Source organism: Homo sapiens, chromosome 7 (genome assembly GCF_000001405.40).
Source record: "Homo sapiens chromosome 7, GRCh38.p14 Primary Assembly".
Taxonomy (NCBI): Eukaryota; Metazoa; Chordata; class Mammalia; order Primates; family Hominidae; genus Homo; species Homo sapiens.
Genome location: NC_000007.14, coordinates 72,216,615 through 72,233,543, shown reverse-complemented (window position 1 = coordinate 72,233,543; position 16,929 = coordinate 72,216,615). Strand labels below are relative to the sequence as shown.

General features: G+C 45.3%; 1 protein-coding gene across 15 annotated transcripts in view, besides 1 other annotated feature; it reads left to right on the top strand.

The window, feature by feature from the left end:
* The window catches only part of CALN1 (calneuron 1), a 724,789-nt gene that overhangs the window by 270,736 nt on the left and 437,124 nt on the right, over positions 1 to 16,929 (top strand). The gene's annotated exons all lie outside the window — the stretch shown is intronic.
* Positions 8,767 to 8,922: a silencer, noted in NCBI's record as "fragment chr7:71689607-71689762 (GRCh37/hg19 assembly coordinates)". NCBI's record gives its function as "represses an EF-1alpha promoter that drives an FKBP-Casp9 reporter gene in an ReSE screen in HepG2 liver carcinoma cells {active_cell/tissue: HepG2}" and the evidence as "EXISTENCE:reporter gene assay evidence [ECO:0000049][PMID:32094911]".

Here is a 16,929-nt window from a genome sequence, read left to right as displayed (position 1 = left end):
GGGTCTCACTATGTTGCCGATGCTGGTCTCAAACTCCTGGTCTCAAGTGATCCTCCTGCCTTGGCCTCCTGAGTTGTTGGGATTCCAGGCATGAGCCATTGTACCCAGCCTTTTTCTCTCTCTTGAAAGGAAACATCTCTTTGTGAACACTGCCTTCTCTTCTCCCCTTAGCCCCTTAACTCTCCATCCCACTGAGGGTCACAGGCAACTCCCCGAGACCGTCTTCTCCTTTGGCTCTTATTCTGTCCTTGGGGTTGCTTTTTTTCCTCCTTCCAACCCTGCAGTGGGTCCTTTACTCAAATGATCTCCTCCATGCCTTTCTCCACAGTGCCTTCTTTTTTTTTTTTTTTCCTTTTTACAGAATGATCTTTATTGTATCAAGAAGTCAAACAGTAAAAATAGTGACGAAAAACAGTCCCTTGTGACCAAAATAAAGGAACTAAACTTTTTCATCAACAATCAGAGAAAGAACTTAATAAAGCCAAAGCTTTTAAACAGGTGCAATAAAATTATATGCATATTATTGAAAACTGTGTTTCCATGTTATGGAAACATGCTAAACATGTTACATGCTAAACATGCTAATTTATGCTAAATTAAAAATATAGCAAATTATGAAGAAGAAGGTGTCACTGTCATCACTATACCCAATATAGATAGTGTTAAAGTCTGTTGTTTCCTTCCAGTCTTTTAAAGGAATTTGGCTTTTTATGTTGTATTAAAAAAATTTCAATATATCATATGTTTCCTAAACCATTAACTATTCTTTAAAAAATACTTTTTAAGCCAGGTGTGGTGGCTCATGCCTGTAATCACAGCACTTTGGGAGGCCAAGATGGGCAGATCACCTGAGGCCAGGAGTTCAAGACCAGCCTGGCCAACATGGCGAAACCCTGTCTGTACTAAAAATATAATAATTAGCCAGCATGGTGGCAGGTGCTTGTAATCCCAGCTGTTTGGGAGGCTGAGGCAGGAGAATCGCTTGTACCTGGGAAGCGGAGGTTGTAGTGAGCCAAGATGGTGCCACTGCACTACAGCCTGGGCAACAGAGTGAGACTCCGTCTCAAAAAATAAATTAAAAAAAAATTTTTTTGAAAGCTTTCTACGAGTCCATTGCATGAAGTGACAATAACTTATTTAACCATCTCTTATTTGTTGGATTTTTGTTTCTCTCCAATGCTTGGCTATTGTAAATAGTATTATCACGTACAATGCAGTTGTTCAATTAGTTGTCTTCTTCCCGGACCTGGATTACTTTTGGCTTTCACCTCTGCGATGACGGTTCTACAATGGGATCTTTAGTTCTGACTGCAGTTCTAAGCTCTTGGCCCAAATCTAAACCCCTTGCCGGAGCTGATGCATGCTCCTACATCCTCTCTGCTCCCCCTGCTGAGGCAGTTTCTTCTGACCCCTAGAATGGTGTCACTGTGATTCCCATGAGCCAGCCTTTTGTCTTCTTTGACCCTTCTCCTTTGGCCCCAGCCTGTAGGGGATCTCCAAGTTGCATATGTTTTATGCATCCAATATCCCAACACACATTTCACACCTGTCAGGCTCCTTCTCAATGCACTGTCTTGTCCAAGACAACAGCGTCTTTTCTGACACTTGCTGCCTCTCTCCTGCCCCCCAGTGCAACTTACATGCTGCTAAACAAATTGATTTTACAAAAAATATAGCTCTAGTTGATCACTCTTTTCCTTAGTCTACTCTTACCCTGACAGCCCAGGCATTCCACAGCATGGTACAGTAAGGGTGGGGTTATCAGCAAGGGAGGAGTTCCAAGACCCCCAGTGGATGCCTGAAATCACGGATAGCACTGAGCTCTGTACCTAGTACATCTTTTCCTATAGGTACCTACGTATGAGAAAGTTTCATTTATAAATTAGGCACAGTGAGAGACTAACAACAATAGCAATAAAATATCATTCTGTTACAAAGATACATGCACATGTATGTTCATTGCAGCACTATTCACAACAGCAAAGACATGGAATCAACCCAAATGCCCATCAGTGATAGACTAGATAAAGAAAATGTGGTACATATACCATGGAATACTATGAAGCCATAAAAAAGAATGAGATCCTGTCCTTTGCAGAGACATGGATGGAGCTGGAAGCCGTTATCCTCAGCAGTCTAATGCAGTAACAGAAAACCAAACACTGCATGTTCTCACTTGTAAGTGGAAGCTGAACAATGAGAACACATGGACACAGGAAAGGGAACAACACACACTGGGGCCTGTTGGACAGGGGCGTTGGGGGAGGGAGAGCATTAGGAAAAATAGCTAATGCCTGCTGGGCTTAATACCTAAGTGGTGGGTTGATAGATGCAGCAAACCACCATGGTGCATGTTTACCTATGTAACAAACCTGCACATCCTGTGCATGTACACCAGAACTTAAAATAAAAATTAAAAAAAAAAAGCGTGTACTGCAACAGTTGATCTGATAGCTCAGTCAGCTACTGAGTGACTGACAGACTGGTAGTGTAGACAGTGTGGCTAGGCTACACAAAGGCACGATTCATGCCCCCAGGTGGGGCAGTTTGGGATGGTATAAGATTTCATCACGCTCCTTGGAATGGCATGCACATGAAAACTGATGAATTTTTTATTTCTGGAATTTTCCATCTGATATTTTTGGAATGTGGTTGAACTCAGGTAACTGAAACTGCAGAAAGTGACGCTGTGGGTGATGGGGAAACGACTGTGCCTATATTAGTTTTCTGTGGTTGCTGTAACCAATTATCACTAACTTAGCGGCTTAACAGAATACGAATTTATTATCTTTCAATTCTGGAGGTCGGAGTTTGGAATGCATCTTACTGGGATAAAATAGGGATATTATCAGGGCTACATTCCTTTGGAGATGCTGGGGCAGAATCTGTTTCCTTGCTTTGTCGAACTTCTATAGAGTCTGCCTGCATTCCTTAGCTCATATCTCCTCTTCCATCTTCAAAGGCAGCAGTGGAGCATCTTCAGATCTCTCTCTCTGACTCTCCTACTGTCCTCTTCCATCTTTTTTTTTTTTTCTCAAGACAGGGCCTCACTCTTTTGCCCAGGCTGGGGTGCAGCGGCGTGATCATGACTCACTGCAGCCTTGACCTACCTGGGCTCAGGTGATCCTCCCACTTCAGCCTCCCAAGTAGGTGGAACTGCAGGTGTATGCTACCACACCCAGCTAATTTTTTTTTTTTTTTAGTATCTATTGTAGAGACAGAGTTTCGCCACATTGCCCAGGCTGATCTGTTTTTAAAATATTTTTAAAATTTTACTTTAAGTTCTGGGATACATGTGCAGAACGTGCAGGTTTGTTACCTAGGTATACATGTGCCATGGTGGTTTGCTGCACCTATCAACCTGTCATCTAGGTTTTGTTTTTTGTTTTTGTTTTTGTTTTTTGAGACGGAGTCTTGCTCTGTTGCCCAGGCTGGAGTGCAGTGGTGCAGTCTCGGCTCACTGCAAGCTCTGCCTCCTGGGTTCACGCCATTCCCCTGCCTCAGCCTCCTGAGTAGCTGGAACTACAGGCGCCCACCACCACGCCCAGCTAATTTTTTGTATTTTTGTAGAGACGGGGTTTCACCCTGTTAGCCAGGATGGTCTCGATCTCCTGACCTCATGATCCGCGCGGCTCAGCCTCCCAAAGTGCTGAGATTACAGGTATGAGCCACTGTGCCCGGCCCCTGTCATCTAGGTTTTAAGCCCTGCAAATGCATTATGTATTTGTCCTAATGCTCTCCTTCCCCTTGCTCCCCACCCTCCGACAGGCCCCGGTGTGTGATGTTCCCCTCCCTGTGTCCATGTGTTCTCATTGTTCAACTTCCACTTATGAGTGAGAACATGCGGTGTTTGGTTTTCTGTTCCTGTGTTAGTTGGCTGAGAATGATGGTTTCCAGCTTCATCTGTGTCCCTGCAAAGGACATGAACTCATTCTTCTTTATGGCTGCATAGTATTCCATGGTGTATATATGCCATATTTTCTGTTTCCAGTTTATCATTGATGGGCATTTGGATTGGTTCCAAGTCTTTCCCATTGTAAATAGTGCTGCAGTAAACATACGTGTGCATGTGTCTTTATAGTAGAATGATTTATAATCATTTGGGTACACACCCAGTAATAGGATTGTTGGGTCAAATGGTAAGCGATCCTCTTGCCTCAGCCTCCCAAGTGCTGGGATTACAGGCATGAGCCACCATGCTCTGCTTTCCTCTTCCATCTTTTTAAGAGCCTTTGTGATTACATTGGGCTCACCCAGATAAAACAGGATAATACCCCCATCTCAAGATCTCTTTTTACATCTGCAAAGTCTCTTTGTTATCTGAGGTAACAGATTCACAGGTTCTGGGGACCAGGACATGGTCATCTTTGGAGAGGCTTTTTTCTGCCTCCCACAGCACCCAGCTTTTCTTCCATGTTCGTTTTTCCCTTTTCCCTGATTGTATCTTTAGTGCTGGACAAATAATAATAATTAAAAATGGGCTGGGTGTGGTGGCCCATACCTGTAATTCTAGCACTTCAGGAGGATCACTTGAGCCCAGGAGTTCAAGACCAGCCTGGACAACATAGTGAGATCCCCGCCCCCCACCACCAACATCTCTACAAAAAAAAAAAAAATTGCCAGGCATGGTGGCATGTGCCTGTAGTCCCAGCTACTCAGGAGGCTGAGGTGGGAGGATCATGTAAACCCAGGAGGTTGAGGTTGCAGTGAGCTATGATTGCATCAGTGCACTCCAGCCTGGACTATAGAGCAAGACCTTGTCTCAATAAATAAATAAATAAATAAATAAATAAATAAATAAATATATAAATAAGGTAGCCAACACTTGTGGAGTGCTTGCTGTATTCCAGGCCCTGCATTAAGCACCTTCTTTCCATCGTCACCTTTACTTAAACCTTGCGACTATTGTACAACATCAGTTATTGTTGTTCCAGTTTACAGATAAGGAAACTGAGGCTCAGAGAGTAATTTGCCCACAGCCATGCACCAATGAATGCTGGAGTATTTTTAAAAATAACTTTATTGAGGAATAGTTTATATACCATCAAATTACCTGCATTAAGTGTACAGTTCAATGATTTTTCATAATCTTACGGAGCTGTGCACACATCACTGTGATTCAGTTTTAGAACACATTTTATCACCCCAGAGAAACCCGGTGAGGAGCTCTCAACCCAGTGGGGAAGCCAGACATTTAAACTAATTGTTATGTGATATGCTAAGCTCAGGAGTGGAGTTACATGCATTCTAGGCAAGCAGAGGACAGAATGTTGAGTGAAGGGAAGATTAAGGTAAGTCTTCTAGTCCCTGGAAACACTACATTCTCTCTTTGACCAAACTAATTAGATGAGAGAAACACATTGGGATCACAGGCATCTCATTGACAAGCCCAGTCCCCGTTAAGCAGCTGTGTGTGGATGGAAGTTCCCACGACAAAGAAAGAAGAGCTACATTGATAGGCACAGACAGCAGCACTTGGTTCAGTATTCCCAAACCTGTTCAGAACCGTTCTGCTTTGCCGTGAACCTGAAATCCGACATTGGAGGAGCTTAGCAGAAATGAGAGTAGGGATTGTGGAGCTGGAAGTTGCTTGGAGAAGGCATAGGTCCTGGGACAGAGTACTTGCTAGCTGGTGGAAGACCTTCGGGATGGTGTCTACAGTGTAGCTTGGGGAACGCTCTCCTGGGTTTCTGGTGCCTCTACTTCTCATCTTCATAATGATTCAGAGTGCAGTGGTGCAGTCTCGGCTCACTGCAACCCCCGCCTCCCAGGTTCGAGTGATTCTCCTTTTTTGTAACTTTTTATTTTAGATTCAGAGGGTACTTGTGCAGATTTGTTGCAAGGGTATATTGCATGATGCTGAAGCTTGGGATGTGATTGGACCTCTCACTCAGGTAGTGAGCATAGTACCCAACAGATAGTTTTTTAACCTTTGCCCACCCCCCACAACCCAATGTCTATTGTTACCACCTTTTTTCTTTTTTCTTTTTTTTCTTTTTTTTTTGAGACGGAGTCTTTCTCTGTCACCCAGGCTGGAGTGCGGTGGTGCCATCTCGGCTCACTGCAATCTTTACCTCCCAGGTTCAAGCAGTTCTCCTGCCTCAGCCTCCCAAGTAGCTGGGATTACAGGCGCCCGTCACCACTCCCAGCTAATTTTTGTATTTTTAATAGAGACAGGGTTTTGCCATGTTGGCCAGGCCGGTCTTGAACTCCTGACCTTTAGTTATCTGCTTACCTTGGCCTCTCAAAGTTCTGAGATTACAGACGTAGGCCACCACTCCCGGCTGCCCTCTTTTTTTTTTTTTTTAAGCTTTTAATTTTAGATTCAGAGGGTACTGTGCAGATTTGTTACAAAGGTATATTGCATGATGCTGAAGTTTGAGATACGATTGAAACTGTCGCCCAGGTAGCGAGCACAGTACCCAATAAGTAGTCTTTCAACCCTTGCCGTCCATCCCTGTTTCCCCAATGTCTATTGTTCCCATCTTTACTTTTCTGTCTTGTTTTTGAGATGGAGTCTTGCTCTGTGGCCCAGGCTGGAGTGCAGTGGTGTAATCTCAGCTCACTGCAGTCTCTGTCTTCCGGGTTCAAGTGATTCTCCTGCCTTACCTCCCAGGTAGCTGGAACTATAGACATGCGCCATCATGCGTGGCTAATTGTTTTTTGTAGAGATGGGTGTCACCATGTTGGCCAGGCTGGTCTCGAACTCCTGACCTCAAGGCATCTGCTCACCTTGGCCTCCCAAAGTGCTGGAATTACAGGTGTGAGCCACTGTGGCCAGACTTATGGTTCCCATTTTCCTGTCCATGTGAACCCAATGCTCCCATCTGTAAATGAGAACGTGCGGTATTTGATTTTGTTTCTGCATCAGTTTGCCTAGGATAATGTCAGCCCTCTTTCTTATCTCTACAGTGTAGGAAGATGTGTTTGGGGATCATAACTTTTATCCTGTCCATGTAACCCTTGAAAGCACTGGGATAGCGAAAGCTGACCTTCAGTGATATGTCTTAGAGGAAGTCCTAACAATGTGGGGTGTTGAAGCTGGGTCATCTTATGAAGTTGCCTACTTTCTTGACCCTTCCCTGCTGCTTTCTAGGTGAGGAAACTGAGGCCCAAAGAGGGGAAGAGCAAGGACTCCTATGGGCTAGACTATGCATTGGGTCATTATGTCACCCCTGCCAGGTAGGCAGAGTTAGCCTCATTTTGCAGTTGGGGAAATCATGGTTCAGAGAAGCATCTCGGTGGCATGAACAGTTTTCCATTGCTAATTCTTTCTTTCTTTTTTTAATTATTATTTTGAGACAGATTTTCACTCTTGTCACCCAGGTTGGAGTGCAATGCTGTGATCTTAGCTCACTGCAACCTCCATCTCCCGGATTCAAGCGATTCTCCTGCCTCAGCCTTCTTAGCGTGCACCACCATGCCCGGCTAATTTTTTTTTTTTTTTTTTGGGTGGAGTCTCGCTCTGTCACCAGGCTGGAGTGCAGTGGCGCAATCTCGGCTCACTGCAACCCCTGCCTCCCGGGTTCAAGTGATTCTCCTGCCTCAGCCTCCCGAGTAGCTGGGACTACAGGTGTGTGCCACCACACCCGGCTAATTTTTGTATTTTTAGTAGAGACGGAGTTTCACCATGTTGGCCAGGATGGTTTTGATCTCTTGACCTCATGATCTGCCTGCCTCGGCCTCCCAAAGTGCTGGGATTACAGGCCTGATCCACTGCTATTTCTTTCCCTGCACCCTTTTGCCTTGCAGAAGATATGCACAGTTGAAATTGTAAGCCTTAGACATTGTGGGTACTCGCTAGGAGCTCAGAAACAGCTGAGTTTGATTTTCTCGCAAAGAGCACATGGAAGTGAGGAACACACAAGATGGCGTGACATTTTATGCCCTTTCAGTGTAAATTCTACAAAATCATCAAGGTAGCGCCGAGGGCTTCGCTTTAAAATAGAATACACGTGGAATTATCAGTCTTCAGAGACCGAGCTGTGTGTGATCTTTCCGTCTAGCTGCTTGTCTTTGGCACAGAAAACTGAAAATGACCTCTTTTCCCCATTGGCCACTCCTTTTGAAGCTTGACCAACACGGCGGAAAGCCCTGCTCACTTCTTTGTAAGTGGCCCTTTTTGGGGTATCGTTGCCCCTCCCCCGTGCCAGGGAATGGTAATTGGCACTTAAGTATCGAGTCAGTTGGAAAAAGAACCGAAGCAGGGTGCTTACAGAATTGGGGACACACAGGAGGACACCCTGCTAAGGTGTGTCCTGCTGTCTCAGACAGGAACCTGGTGCTCAGTGAAGGAAGCTTCCCTGAGGAAGAGACGTGAAAGCCGAGCCCGGCCTCTTTTGGTAAAATGACTTCCTTCCTGTGGGCCTGTGAAGCACCACATTGGGCCTATGAGAGACCAAGTGCAGGGAAAATGCTGGAATATCGTGCTTTTTTTTTTTTGAGATGGAGTCTCGCTGTGTCACCCAGGCTAGAGTGCAGTGGCGTGATCTCTGCTCACTGCAAGCTCCACCTCCTGGGTTCATGCATGCCGTTCTCCTGCCTCAGCCTCCCAAGTAGCTGGGACTACAGGTGCCCGCCACCACACCCAGCTAATTTTTTTTTTGTGTGTGTGTATTTAGTAGAGACCGGGTTTCACCATGTTAGCCAGGATGGCCTCAATCTCCTGACCTCGTGATTCACCTGCCTCGACTTCCCAAAGTGCTGGGATTACAGGCGTGAGCCACCGTGCCCGGCCTTATCCTGCTCTTTTTTTTTAATTTTTTGACAGGGTCTCACGGTGTTGCCTAGGCTGGAGTGCAGTGGCGCAATCTTGGCTTATTGCAACCTCTGCCTCCGGGGTTCAAGCGATTCTCGTGTCTCAGCCTCCCGAGTAGCTGGGATTACAGGCACTGGCCACCACTCCCAGCTAATTTTGTATTTTTAGTAAAGACAGGTTACACCATGTTGCAAGGCTGGTCTCAAACTCCTGATCTAAAGTAATTCACCTGCCTTGGCCTCCCAAAGTGCTGAGATTACAGACGTGAGCCACCATGTCTGGCCATATCCTGCTCTTTTTAAACAGCACGGCTGGGTCTTCCTTTAGTTCACGGGTTTTAATTCTGAACATGAGTAACAGCATTAAAAGAAGTCACTTGTTTCCTTTTTGACCCTGTGATATCCATCCAAAAAAAATTTTGCCTTCCATATGACTTAGGAACTGAAGGAATGCTATTTCCTTGTGCTGGCGTTGCCCTGTCTTTGGTATATAGATGATGTTTCCTTTGCATTTTACCTCCTCTAGTGAATGAAAAAGTCATTTCTTCCAATTTTAATTCTCCTAGAAGATTTTATTTTTTAATTTAAAAAATAATTTCAACTTTTATTTTAGATTCAAGGGGGTACATATGCCAGTTTGTTACAAGGGTATATTGTGTGATAATGAGTATATATTACAAGGGTATATTGTGTGATATTGGGGTACGATTGATCCTGTCACCCAGGTAATGAGCATAGCACCCAATAGGTAGCTTTTTAACCCTTGCCTTCCTCCCTACATCCTCCCTCTAGTAGTCCCCACTGTCTGTTGTTCCCATCTTCATGTCTGCGTGTACCCAATACTTGAGCTCCATGTATACATCAGAACATGCAGTATTTGGTTTTCTGTTTATGCATCAACTTGCTTAGGATGATAGCCTCCAGCTGCTTCCATGTTGCTGCCGAGGACACGATTTCCTTCTTTTTTATGGCTGCATAGTATTCCATGGTGTCTATGCACCACATTTTCTTTACCCAATCCACTGTTGATTTCATCTGTCTGGATTTCATGTCTTTGCTACTGTGAATAATGCTGCAATAAACATGCTAGTGCGGGTGGCTTTTCAATAGAACAATTGGGTAGAACAATTTATTTTTTTGCTGGGTCAAATGGTAGTTCTGCTTTTGGTAATGACTTCCTTTTGTGGGGGCCTGTGAGGGACCACATCAGGCCTATGAGAGACCAAGTTCAGGGAAAGTGCAGGGAATGTCCTGCTCTTTTTAAGCAGTGGCTGCTGGGTCATCCTCCAGTTCACTAGCATTGAGAGAAGCCACTTGGTTCCTTTTTTACCCTGTAAGCCATATCCATCAAAAAATGAATCACCTTCCATACTAGTTAGAAGCTGAAGGAGCACGATTTCCTCATGCTGGTTGGGCCCTGTTTTTGGTTTAGAAATGATGTTTCCTTTGTATTTTCCCTCCTCCAGTGACTTGGAAGTCATTCCTTCAGACTTTAATTCTCCTGGGAGATTTTATTTCTCCCATGTGCCCAGCTCCACCTCAATTTCAGATTAAGCTCAGCTCTGTTGTCAGAAGAATGGGAACCCCTCTTCTCCTCTGCCTGACCGCGGCCCGTTAAATAAATAGCAAGGAAAGCCCATCATTCTGATTATGTTTTGTTGCCACCACTCCCTTGCCTGTGTCCCAGTGCCAACTGCTTTAACAGGAGCCTGTAGCTCACCCTAAGCAGGGGCTACCCTCTCCTTTTCTTTTTTCATTGATTTTTAGAGACAAGGTCTTGCTTTGTCACCCAGACTGGATTGCAGTGGTGCAATCATAGCTCACTGCAGCCTCTAACTCCTGGGCTGAAGCGATCCTCCTGCCTCAACCTCCCGAGTAGCTGGGACTACAGGTGCACACCACCGTGCCTGAATAATTTGTATGGTTTTGATCAAGATAGGATCTCACTATGTTGCTCAGGCTTGTCTTGAACTCCTGGGCTTAAGCAGTCCTTGCCCTTTGGTCTCCTAAAGCACTGGGATTACAGGTATGAGCCACCACGCCTGGCCTTCTCCCTTTCTTTTTAGCTTGTGATTTCTGGCCACGGGGGTCTCTGATTGTGTCAAGCAAGATCCTGAGAGGTGGGTGAAAAACCAGCACTGACTCCTCCAAATGAGGCACCTGATATGGTTTGGATCTGTGTCCCCCACCCAAATCTCATGTTCAATTGTAATCCCCAGTGTTGGAGGGGGGCCTGGTAGGATGTGATTGGATCATGGGGGCAAACTTCTTGTGAATGGTTTAGCACCATCCTCCTTGGTACTGTCCTTATGACAGTGAGTGAGTTCTCGTGAGATCTGATAGTTTAAAAGTGTGTGGTATCTCCCCTCTCTCTTGCTCCTGCTTTTGCCATGTGACATACCAGCTTTCCCCCTTGCCTTCTGCCATGATTGCAAGTTTCCTGAGGCCTGGCCAGAAGCCAAGCAGATGCCAGCATCACACTTCCAGTATAGGCTCCAGAATTGCCAGCCAATTAAACCTTCTTTCCTTTTTTCTTTCTTTCTTTTTTTTTTTCTTTTTTTGAGACGGAGTCTCGCTCTGTTACCCAGACTGGAGCGCAGGGGCACAGTCTAAGCTCACTGCAATCTCTGCCTCTCAGGTTTAAGCGATGCTCCTGCCTCAGCCTCCCAAGTAGCTGGGACTACAGGCTTGTGCCCCCATACTTGGCTAATTTTTGCACTTTTAGTAGAGACAGGGTTTCACCATGTTGGCCAGGCTGGTCTCAAACACCTGAGCCCAAATGATCCGCCCGCCTTGGCCTCCCAAAGTGCTGGGATTACAGGCGTGAGCCACTGCACCTGGCCTAAAACTCTTTTCTTTATAGGTTACCCAGTCTCAGGTATTTCTTCTTTTTTTTTTGAGATGGAGTCTCTCTCTGTCACCCAGGCTGGAGTGCAGTGGCACGATCTCAGCTCACTGCAACCTCCGCCTCCCGGGTTTAAGCAATTCTCTGCCTCAACCTCCTGAGTTGCTGGGATTACAGGCACATGCCACCATGCCCAGCTAATTTTTGTAGTTTTAGTAGAGACTGGGTTTCACCATGTTGGCCAGGCTGGTCTCGAACTCCTGACCTCAGGTGATCCGCTCTCCTCGCCTTCCAGAGTACTGCGATTACAGGCATGAGCCACTGCGTCCAGCCTCAGCCACTCAGCTTTATTTCCAGTTTTTCCTGGTCCTAAGTAGTTATGTAGTGAACTATGGAAAAACAAATCTTTGCTTGTCTTTGTGATTGTTTTTTAAAGCTGTGACCTAACACAAAAAAATTAGCCAGGCACGATGGCGGGTGCCTGTAATCCCAACTACTCGGGAGGCTGAGGCAGGAGAGTTGCTTGAATCCAGGAGGCGGAGCTTGCAGTGAGCCAAAATCACGCCACTGCACTCCAGCCTGGGCAACAGATAGATACCCCGTCTCAAAAAAAAAAAAAAAAAAAAAAAGAAGCCAAGACTTGTGTAAGTGAAAACACTGGGGCATCGCGTCTCCACGTTTTCGGGGCTCTTATAACAGATTGTCCAGTTGCTTCCCTGATAGGTCAGTTCTGTTTCCACTCCTACTAACCGTGTGAAAAATACTCCCCTTTCACCACCCTTTCGCCAACATCATGTTTATGGTTTTAGAAATTGTTGCAAATTTGCAAGGATTTCATGTCTAAAACACCAAAAGCAATGGCAACAAAAGCCAAAATTGACAAATGGGATCTAATTGAACTAAAGAGCTTCTGCACAGCAAAAGAAACTACCATCAGAGTGAACAGGCAACCTACAAAATGGGAGAAAATTTTTGCAACCTACTCATCTGACAAAGGGCTAATACCCAGAATCTACAATGAACTCAAACAAATTTACAAGAAAAAAACAAACAACCCCATCAAAAAGTGGGCGAAGGACATGAACAGACACTTCTCAGAAGAAGACATTTATGCAGCCAAAAAACACATGAAAAAATGCTCATCATCACTGGCCATCAGAGAAATGCAAATCAAAACCACAATGAGATGCCATCTCACACCAGTTAGAATGGCAATCATTAAAAAGTCAGGAAACAACAGGTGCTGGAGAGGATGTGGAGAAATAGGAACACTTTTACACTGTTGGTGGGACTGTAAACTGGTTCAACCATTGTGGAAGTCAGTGTGGCAATTCCTCAGGGATCTAGAACTAGAAATCCCATTTGACCCAGCCATCCCATTACTGGGTATATACCCAAAGGATTATAAATCATGCTGCTATAAAGACACATGCACACGTATGTTTATTGCAGCACTATTCACAATAGCAAAGACTTGGAACCAACCCAAATGTCCAACAACAATAGACTGGATTAAGAAAATGTGGCACATATACACCATGGAATACTATGCAGCCATAAAAAAATGATGAGTTCGTGTCCTTTGTAGGGACATGGGTGAAACTGGAAACCATCATTCTCAGCAAACTATCGCAAGGACAAAAAACCAAACACCACATGTTCTCACTCATAGGTGGGAATTGAACAATGAGAACACATGGACACAGGAAGGGGAACATCACACTCCAGGGACTGTTGTGGGGTGGGGGGAGGGGGGAGGGATAGCATTTGGAGATATACCTAATGCTAAATGACGAGTTAATGGGTGCAGCACACCAGCATGGCACATGTATACATATGTAACAAACCTGCACATTGTGCACGTGTACCCTAAAACTTAAAGTATAATAATAATAAAACAAAAAAAATTATAAAAAAAAAATTGTTGCCAATTTGGTTGCTTCAAATAAGACTGGAGTTTTGTTTTACTTTGACTACTAGTGAGGTTGAATTTTTTTTTATAGGAGGCTAATCAATGTGTTTTTCTGCATCCTTTGATATCATCGATGCAGTTCTGGTTTAGAAGGTAGCTCTTGTTCATTCCAGGATTTTGTCTCTTGAACTGACCCTATTGACAGTTCAGCCATTGAAATGTCTCCTATTTGCATAGGAAATTCTATTATATGCAGTTTCCTATTCTGCTGCCTCTGTGTGTGTGTGTGCGTGCATGCTTGTGTGTATGTGTGCACGTGCGTGTGTGTGCATTGCATGTGTGCATGTGTATGCATGTGTGTGCAAGGGTGTGTGTGCGTGTGTGTGTGTGCGCGCATGTGTATCTTCATGGATTTTAATGGGAAATTGTATCAAGGAGTACTACATGTTGCACCTCTGATTGATTCTGAAATTCAGTTGACTCTTAAATGAAGAGCATCTTAACAGGTACAGTGGCTCATGCCTGTAATGCCAGCACTTTGAGAGGCTGGGGCAGGAGGATCACTTGAGGCCAGGAGTTTGAGATCAGCCTGGGCAACACAGCAAGACCCCATCTCTACAAAAAATAAAAAGAAAAATTAGCCAGTTGTGGTGGAATGCACCTGTAGTCCTAGCTGCTCATTAGGCTGAAGTTGGAGGATCACTTTAGCCCAGGATTTTAAGGTTACAGTGAGATATGATCATGCCACTGCACTCCAGCCTTGGGCAACAGAGCAAGACCTTGTCTCTTAAGAAAATGAAGAAAAAATGACGGGCATTTGACTCAGTTACAGCTGGCTGTCACTAGGGAAGAATTTTTCCTCTTCTATGCCCGTGGTCAGATCTTAGGGTCACTAGAGGTAATTGAGAAATAGAATGGCTGAGTGCTTATTTAATGAATACATATTCCCAAAAAATGCATGTTGTTAGTTGTCAGAGTCAAGAGTGGGGTAATTCAGGTAGGGTGCAGTTTCCTGTTTCAGGGGTGTGCTTCTCATGGCATCTGCAGTTCCCTGCACTCTGTCGCTCTTGGGAGTACACAATTTGCATCTCTCCTACCCAGCCCCTTCCTGAACTCCATGACTTTTTACCTGCCGGCCAGATCAGATTAGATGAAGATAGCCTAGGTGCTACAGAATGGATAATGAGGCACTTCTCCTTCAGAGGAAAACCGTGCTTTGGACATAGTGCTTTACCAGTCATTGTTTTATAGGGTCACATTCATTAACGTCCATAAGAAGGTCTTAATGACCACCTAGTCCCTACTCTCCCAGGGTTCCCATTGAGTGGATTAATGGTTTTCTCTTCTTTGAAGGACAATTATGTTTACTTAGACATTGTATACTAAAGCAAAGTGATGTTTCGGTTTTGGAAACTTCTTCAAGCATGGCGTCCTCTACATGGTCAGGTTAGAGATTCTCACTCAATTCCTCACCCCACACAACAGAAAAAGCAACAAATCACAATAACAGGCTACTGAGCTGGGCACTTCATTGTTGCTTTGGTTACCCAAAGCACAGTTATTTTATTTTATTTTATTTTTTGAGATGGAGTCTCGCTCTGTTGCCCAGGCTGGAGTGCAGTGGCACGATCTCAGTTCACTGCAACCTCCTCCTGCTGGGTTCAAGTGATTCTCCTGCCTTAGCTTCCTGAGTAGCTAGGACTACAGGTGCATGCCACCATGCCCGGATAATTTTTTGTATTTTTAGTAGAGATGGGGTTTCACCATGTTAGCCAGGATGGGTTCGATCTCCTGACCTGGTGATCCGCCTGCCTCGTCCTCTCAAAGTGCTGGCATTGCAAGCATGAGCCACTGCGCCTGGCCTGCACAGTTATTTAAAAAAAATTTTGGCGGAGCGGGGTGGCTCACGCCTGTAATCCCAGCACTTTGGGAGGCCGAGGAGGGCGGATCACGAGGTCAGGAGATCAAGACCATCCTGGCTAACATGTTGAAACCCCGTCTCTACTAAAAGTACAAAAAACTATCTGGGCGCAGTGGCAGGCACCTGTAGTCCCAGCTACTCGGGAGGCTGAGGCAGGAGAATGGCGTGAAGCTGGGAGGTGGAGCTTGCAGTGAGCCGAGATAGTGCCACTGCAGTCCAGCCCGCATGAAACAGCGGGACTCCATCTCAAAAAAAAAAAAAAAAAAAAAAAAAAAATTTATTTAATTTTTTTGTAGAGTTGGGGGATCTCGCTATATTGCCCAAGCTGATCTCGAACTTCTGGCCTCAAGCAATCCTCCCACCTAAGCCTCCCATAGCATTAGGATTATAGGTGTGAGCCACCACACCCAGCCCCAGTGATATTTAAGGTCACCAAGTTTGTCAGTTGGGTCTTTCTGGTTTGGACCCTAGAGATGCCTGTGAAATCGTCCTTCTTCCCCTAGACCTTCTCTGATGACAATCTCTGAACTCTGATGTAGCTTTCTGGCCCATTTCTTCATCTGGCACGACTTAGTGTCTTCAGTTTTGACTCTGTTTTGCACTCTCCCACACTTTGCTCTTTGAAGAGTAACTGGTTGCTATAGAAGCGGTGATGTCAGGGCCAGGGAGAGCGCTTTATTGGCATGGACCAGGGCTTTATAGAGTTGTTTTCTATAATCATGTTTGGGGCTGGTGTTAGTCATACTCCAAGAGGCAAGATGCCCAGGCCCAGACCTGCCTCCACCCCGAGGCTCCTGAGTCCTGTTACTCACTGGGGTACAGTGCTGTGCTACCTAGGACAGGGGAGTGGCTGGGGTGTGCTTGGTCTCCAGGAACCCTCTTGTCCATTTAGCCACGTCCTACAGCAGAGACTAGAGCCCTTAGGGGGAGTTTGGGTGTGGGACAATGCCTGCACCTTGGTCCGTGGGGAAGCAGACCCCCAAAAAGGTACTTTTCTTAATCCTTTCTTGTATTTTCTCTATTGCCTCTTAACATCTTGTCACATTCACACATGGGTTTAAAAATGCTGAAGGCCGGATGTGATGGCTCACACCTGTAATCCCAGCACTTTGGGAGGTGAGAGGATCACTTGAGCCCAGGAGTTTGAGACCAGTCTGGGCAACATAGCAAGACCCCATCTCTTAAAAAAAATCAGTGGGTGTGGTGGCATGTGCCTGTACTCCCAGCTACTCAGGAGGCTGAGGCAGGAGGATCACTTCAGGTGGAGAAGTTGAGTCTGCTGTAAGCCGTGATTGTGCTACTGAACTCCAGCCTGGGTGACAGAGCAAGACCCTGTCTCCCCCACCAAAAAACAATGCTGTGAAGTTGTCTCTTTTGGAGAAAGAGCTCAGGGGACCACTCAGCTTCACTGTCCCCTGCTTTATTTTGGGATCAGAGGTGTATCTGGTTCAATAACTGTTCTCTATGTCTAGAACTCAGGAGTGAGAAGGCAGG